Source organism: Homo sapiens, chromosome 9 (assembly GCF_000001405.40).
Source record: "Homo sapiens chromosome 9, GRCh38.p14 Primary Assembly".
NCBI classification, from domain to species: Eukaryota; Metazoa; Chordata; class Mammalia; order Primates; family Hominidae; genus Homo; species Homo sapiens.
Window position 1 is genome coordinate 64,493,708 of NC_000009.12, and position 7,078 is coordinate 64,500,785.

Here is a 7,078-nt window from a genome sequence, read left to right on the forward strand (position 1 = left end):
ATTGCATCTCTTCATCTTTCCGAATACCAGTGTCACTGTCACCCACAATATTTGCTGTTTTGAGCACATGGTTTACCTTTTATTTTGCCCAATAATAGAATATGATGGGGACATCTTATCTGAGTGTTTCATAGTATGCTGTAGTTTGAATTCTTGGCTGTTGGTTTCCCAGAGTCCCAGCTCCTGCCACTGCATTCTGCCTTTGTAAATGGAGAATAATGGCTCTAAAAAAAGTTCACCTAAGAATGTCATGATAGTGGAGAGGGAGGACCATGGAAATGCTAAAGCTACCCACTCGGCTTCTGTAAATCATGCAGAGGATCAGGAAAATGATTGAAAGTAACGTATCCCAAACAAAGCAGTCAGCTGTACAATTCAAGACCTGTGTCTGGCTGTAAAAAAAACAAAAAACAAACAAACAAAAAACACAAACAAACAAAAAAATGGAAAGAATAACCTTGCTACTCATCTTGTTCAAAAAACTGGAGCAGATTGAGTATCTAGACTCAGTTTCAGAAGAAATGTTAAATACTGACAGGGGCATATTCAAGATCTTTAGGATTTTTTCGGGGGAGGAGAGGGGAACATAAAAAAGCAATAATAAAGATAAATTTGAATGCAGGAAAAATACACATAATCCATGAATCTAACACCTGTTTTCGCATGTTTATCATCTTTGTCCCTATGTAGATCTATGTTTTCTTTCATAGTTGCAGTCATAGAATATATTCTATTCTCTAAGCTTTTATCCTTCAACATTATAGGAGAATGTTGTTCCACGTTACCACATAGCCAACTGTTTCAAAACTTGTCTAGTAAATTCTGTGCTGTTGTTTTCACAGGGAGAAACATGCACATGTATATTACTTTTTTTTTTTCTGTTGAATCATACTCTTGGAATAAAATTTTTCAGTGAGGTTTTTGGTTCCAAAAAGTATAAACATTTTGGTGATCTTTAGTAAATTGTATTGCTTTCCAAAGAAGTGATAGGAATTATACTTGCCACCCCAACAGTGAAAGAATTGCAATTTAATTTCAATGTAACAGAGGATGCTACTGTTGCTATTATATTTTCTATTATAATGAAAACCGTTAAAGATTTAAACCAAGCTGGATTGTCTTTCAGGAGCTGCTGTTAAATGAACACCTTGATATCTTCGTTCTTGGAGAGAAATGAGCCAAGGAGGAAGACCATCTAAAAAAACCACTAGACAATTTGTGCTCACTGGAGTGGTCTCTGCTGGGCAAAAGGTCTTTAGAATGACTCGTGGATTTTCTGGCAAGTGGCAAACCATACAAGTGCTATGTCAGGCCAGGGAGACAGGTGCAGCCCTGTCAGTGTCAAAGAAGAACACTGGTAGCAGAAGAGCTAAGAGTGAATGAAAATTGAATTATCTTTATTTCTAGGACTTGTCTATTGAGAAACAACAGTGCTGGCAACGATTTACTACCAACAAGAGGCAGTTCCAAGAGAAGAATATAAAATATGCTCTGCTCAATCCCATGAAACTCAGAGTGTCTCACAATGGCCAATTTCTTATTTTTACCCTGTCCAGAGACAAGGAAGGATGCATCAGGGAGCTGCTAGCCTCTGTGATGAATAACTTGAGTCAGGCTGCAACATGTGAAAGAATTCAGCTGATCAGGATTTATAACACTAGCTGGATTTTTTGCTTTCTTTGGGGTTCATGAAACATGGTGTTGTGAGATACCACAGGAGTCCCAGAGTAAAGTTACATACCTATTTCTCTTCCTTATTTTTATTTTTTTGGCATGTTCATACTATTTTATTACCAACATCGTTGGCATCCCTGAGTATGAGAGTTCAGAAGAAACTTAGAGGCTATTGTCTGATTCAATCCTTGCAGCTTACAAAAAGAAATGTGGGGAGCAGTCACTGTGTGACTAGCCTAGGTCACTCAGGAAGTTAGAGGCAGAACTGCAGCCAGGGTCACCTCTCTTTACTGCTACTAGTGTGCTCTTTCTACTGCACCCTGATCATAAAACATCTCCCAACCCAGGAACAAGGTCTACCGCATAGGTGGGCACAGCAGCGTGATCACTCTCTCAGTCATCTGTACTCCTCCTTTGCTTTGACCAAAGACACAGGAAGGGACCTTTTGCCCCACATAAAACACCTCTCAGAGGCTTTGCAACAACAACAGATAATAGAGAGCATTGACCTAAGACCAACATTTCAACCATGGTGTCAAAACAATATTTTATTTCAGCAAAGAAAAACTATGTCACAAGTGGATTATTATTACTAATAATCAGACTAGTGGTACTTGTGAATGACTTGGTTTCATACTCACACTTGGACAACTATGCACACTGAGTATAACTGACCTTATGAGAACATCATTCTCACTAAGATTATGATGTGCTTTCTCACGTGGGAACTGTACATAATATTGCGTGTACACTTGGGAGGAAGTCCTGCCTGTGGTGTTGTCTTTCAGGGGAAGAAGAATGGTTGACAAGTGAGGGTATATTAAACATTTACTCCTCCAGATTTTTCAAGATTTCTGTTAAGCCAGATCAGAAGAAAGCCATCTATTTGGATTGCATCACTCTAACCTGGTAAGTCGAATTGTCTACACAGAATTATAATTTCACGATATGTCCAGATTACTTACCGAGAGCCAATTTGAGACACCAACAGGACTAGTAAAACATCTTTGCACTGTGGGTAGCGTTGCTATCAAAGACCTTATACATTATGTCATTCAAGAACCTTTATATTAAGATCCTTATGGAAAATCCTTCCCAAAGTTTAACCCTATGATAAAGGGTTTTTTCCTCCTGGTAACATAGTGGGCAATTGGGAACTGTTTAACCCAATGCATTGATTTCATTGATTGTTTTGGTTGCCGAGAAGTATGGATGCTCAGAATAGGTTTTCTTGTTTTCAACTGCTAATTCCTTTATTTAAATTGTAATAAATGTTTCCCTTTACTTCTTTCCTTTTTCTTTTTAAGAAATTTAATGTATTTCATAATAAATTATAAATTATCAATAGATCAATTAGCATAGAATAGTTTGGAATAATGCTTAGAGATCTCCCATTGAAAAAGACCCCAGTACCATAGGGTTCACAGCTGAGTGTTAACTGAACTTGAACAAATTCTGATTTTATTTAAAATGATCAAAGCCTAGAAAAAAAACTCCCGCAGATCACATGGGGCACATAATAACTAAAAAAAAAAAGAAACAAAGAGGAGTGGCTTTCTTCAATTAATTTTATAGTGTAATATCAAAGCTTAATAGTTAATATATTTCATCTAATGTAGAATGTCAATGTTTAGAAATCAGACATTATTTCATGTACCATTAGAGATATACTGCCAATTAAACTGTGACTTCCTTAGCAAAAGCAAAAAAAGGAATTTTAAAGATATTAAAACATGTAAAGAAGAATATAAGCACTATACTCCCAACCCCTTCAATTAACATGTTAATATTTTATTGCATTGTTTTTCAGTAATTACTTTAATAAAATAAATCATTATTAGCTAATGTTCCACCCCTACCACTCCAATCTCATTCTCCTTCTAGGTCCCCCAGGCCCAATTGCTAAAATAAATTTGTTGTACACTTTAAAGTTAATTTTCTATACATTTGCACATAAATATGTGCATTCGTAGAAAGTATTTTTGTGCTGAGAAGGTAGAATAAGCCCTTCAAAATTGTTGATGTTCAGATTCCAGTTGGCAAAAGTCTTACACATGTGGCATTAAATATTTTCAGTATTAAACATGCACATTCCACAAGTTCAGCAGTTCTGTAATATACATCCAGAGTCTGCCCTGAGGGATGCTTACAACCTTAGTATAAACTCTCACTCACCCCTTTTAGAGAATAAAACTTACACCTATGTAATGACCAGTCCAGGTACAAGGGTGTCCTCTAAGAACATTCATTCATGTATTCAAAAAATCTTTATTGAGCACCTGCACATTTCATGCCAGGGAGGTGACCTGTGTTCTCCCTACACAACAGGAGAAAGAGTGGTGGCATCGGCAGGAAAGTGCAGTGGAAAGGAGGAGCTGACTTTGGCAGGAAAAAGAACGATATTACTTTGAATTTATCAACTCTGACGTAACATCCTGATAAAAAGTGCCATATCCAAATCACGTTGAAGATTCTCAAAGGACAGTACCAAAGTTGAATAAAAACACAGTGCCTCAAATGGGAAGTGGTATAGAAAGGCCTGAGGCTGGGGTATGGAGGCACACGGTGTGCCGAGAACGAGGGAAGAGAAGAGTGAACAACTGCTCGGGGTCGGGTTGCATTGATGGCGAGAGATGGGTGTAACATGCATTTATGAGGACAGACATGATCAGGTTTAAAGAAAAAGAATTTTTTTTTTTTCCAGCAGTCCTACTATGGGGCATTTATCTACAGGAAAGGAAATCAGCATATTTAGGAGATACCTGCACCCTCATGTTTATAGCAGCCACTATTCACAGTAGCCAAGATTAGAATCAACCTAAATGTCCAAAAACATAATAGATTAAAAATGTAGTATCTATTCACAGTGGAGTACTATTTAACCGTAAAAATAATGAAATCCTGTCCTTGGCTGCAACATGGATCAGCCTGGAACACTACATTAAGTGAAATAACCTAGGCACAGAATTATAAATCTTGCATGTTCTCACTCATATGTGGGAGTTAAAAAAAAACGAACTGAGCTCATGGAAGTGGAGAGTAGAATTCTGGTTATTACAGGCTGGGGAGAGCAACAGGGAGAAGAGCACAGGGAGAGGTTGGTTAACAAATACAAACTTACAGCTAGATAGGAGTAATGAGCACACCTATGACACCAAGCTGGGAATCGACAAGTGTGACAACTCCTCCACGTCCCTGAAGATGGGATACACACAGGGCGCTCATCAGAGCGGCCAGGCCTTCGGCATGGGCCCACAGATATACGACCCCAGGTACTACTGGGGAAGCCCAGTGGCCCACGGCGCTCCCTCGGGCTCCGGCCCCGGAATATCTCCCTTACTACCAGGAGGAGACCGGCTACTGAGGCTCCCAGCACGCTCTCTCCACACATGATCTCCCCTCTGGGTGTTTGGGTTTTTCTGTGTTTTCATCTTTTTTTTTTTTAACCTGTTCAGTGCTGCCAGTCAACCGAGGGTCTGTGAGTGGCAGCGTGGGATCAGGCAGCAGGGTTTTTTCCCCACCTCCCCCTGCTTTGGTTCCTTCTCAGGACTGAGCCACCGGGCTGTGGGGGAAGGGATCAAGGCCGTATCCTGATGCGTGTAGGGTGAAGGTGCCCGCTGGCACTTCCAGGCTGTAGGCTGAGCTGTGCTGGAGAGAAGAGACCTGGACATGGAGGGAACCGGTCCCTGAAGGTTTCTGGTTGCCTCTCCTCTTCCCCTTTTCTCAGCCTATCAGTAAGTGGTTTCTGTACCTGCAAAAGTTTCAGGAAGTATTAACAAAATAAAAAAAAATTTTTTTCCCCGAGGAATGGGGCGGGGACAGTGGAGAGGGTGCTAGGAAGTGTGTCCCCTGGGAGAGGGGGCTCAGCCATGATGCTAAAATATCTCAGGCTCCTGAGTGGCTGGATTTCCCTAGGACCCTCAGACCAACAGACCTCAGACCTACGCTGGGGCCCCGTGAGGAAACTGAGGCCCATACAAGGTACTGGAATTTTGAGTTGTCAGGGTTAAGCCTGACCCATCTCCATCCTGCTCCCCGACCTCCGTGGCCCTCAGTAGGGTTTTTTGTTTGTTTTTGTTTTTGTTGAGATGTAGTCTCACTCTGTTGCCCAGGCTGAAGCGCACTGGAGTAATCTCGCCTCACTGCACCTCGGCCTACCGGGCTCAAGCGATTCTCCTGCCTCAGCCTCCAGAGTAGCTGAGACTACAGGCGCCCACCACCACGCCTGCCTAATTTTTTGTATTTTTAGTAGAGACGGGATTTCACCATGTTGGCCAGGCTGGTTTGGAACTCTTTCCCTCATGTGATCCGCCTGTTTCGTCCTCCCAAAGTGTTGGGATGACAGGCGTGAGCCACCGCGCCCAGCCCCTCAGTAGGTCTTAAGGAGCCCCGGCCCTCCTTCTCCCCTTCCGGGCCTGACCAGGTCTACTGCTCTATCTCTCCCGGCTCCAGGCCACGCCAAGTACTGCACAGAGCCCTCCACCCAGGGGCCCTGCGCTATGAGATAATGTGAAATACCGACTGTGGACCAAACGCAATAAAACCTCTGTTTTTAAGAAGAAAATGAAAAGACTTAAAATTGGCATTTTAAGACTTTACTATATATTATTAAATATATATTAAATATAAATGTTATACAATTTAGCGCCTCTATCTCCCAGTCTCTGGTTAGGAACTTAACTTTCCTAAGCCTCAATTAGTAAACACTTATGGCCTAGCCACGTTGACCCGCCTCTCTCCTAACATCATCCAGTACATTTCGGAAGCGCATGCAAAACTCTCCCACCTTCTGTTTCAACAGATATGTCAACTGATACAATTATACAATAATTGCATAATATTAGATTTAATCTCACAATCACACTCAGCTTGATTACTAACCCTTCTCCTACACCTTGCTCACCTAAATTTATCTACATTTTCTATGAATTGAAATAGCTTAGAAATGTATGTTGTCTGTGTATTATAGTGTAAGTTATTGCAATATAGAAATATGGACTTTCTTTAACTCCCATTTGCTGCCTAGGAAATACCAATATTTTCTAAGCATGGCAAGTGTTTCCAAGCATTCAGAAGTGGAGAGTGTAGGAAATCCACTGCAGAATGAGGTCTGCTTGTCATCCTCTCAGTCTCAACTGCTCTCCCTCCTTCATCGCTCTCTGTTTCATTGGTGAGTATAGAAGATCAGGCATTTTTATATGAAATGAAAATTGATGGAACTAAGGTGTTGATTTGAATATCCAACCGACCATTTATTGAGTGTCCATTACAAGTTAAATTGTGTTGTAGAGAACAGCTCAGGAAACGAATGCTTGACATTGATGAACATAACAGAAATACAAACATGCCATTAAAAAATCAGACCTCTTATGAGCATCCAGATTCTCATGTAAGTTTTGTGAAG

General features: G+C 40.8%; 1 annotated feature.

Annotated features, from left to right (window-relative positions):
• Window positions 4,532–5,489: an enhancer, noted in NCBI's record as "H3K4me1 hESC enhancer chr9:69510657-69511614 (GRCh37/hg19 assembly coordinates)". NCBI's record gives its function as "activates a minimal SCP1, AML or CMV promoter by ChIP-STARR-seq in primed H9 embryonic stem cells {active_cell/tissue: H9 hESC(primed)}" and the evidence as "EXISTENCE:reporter gene assay evidence [ECO:0000049][PMID:30033119]".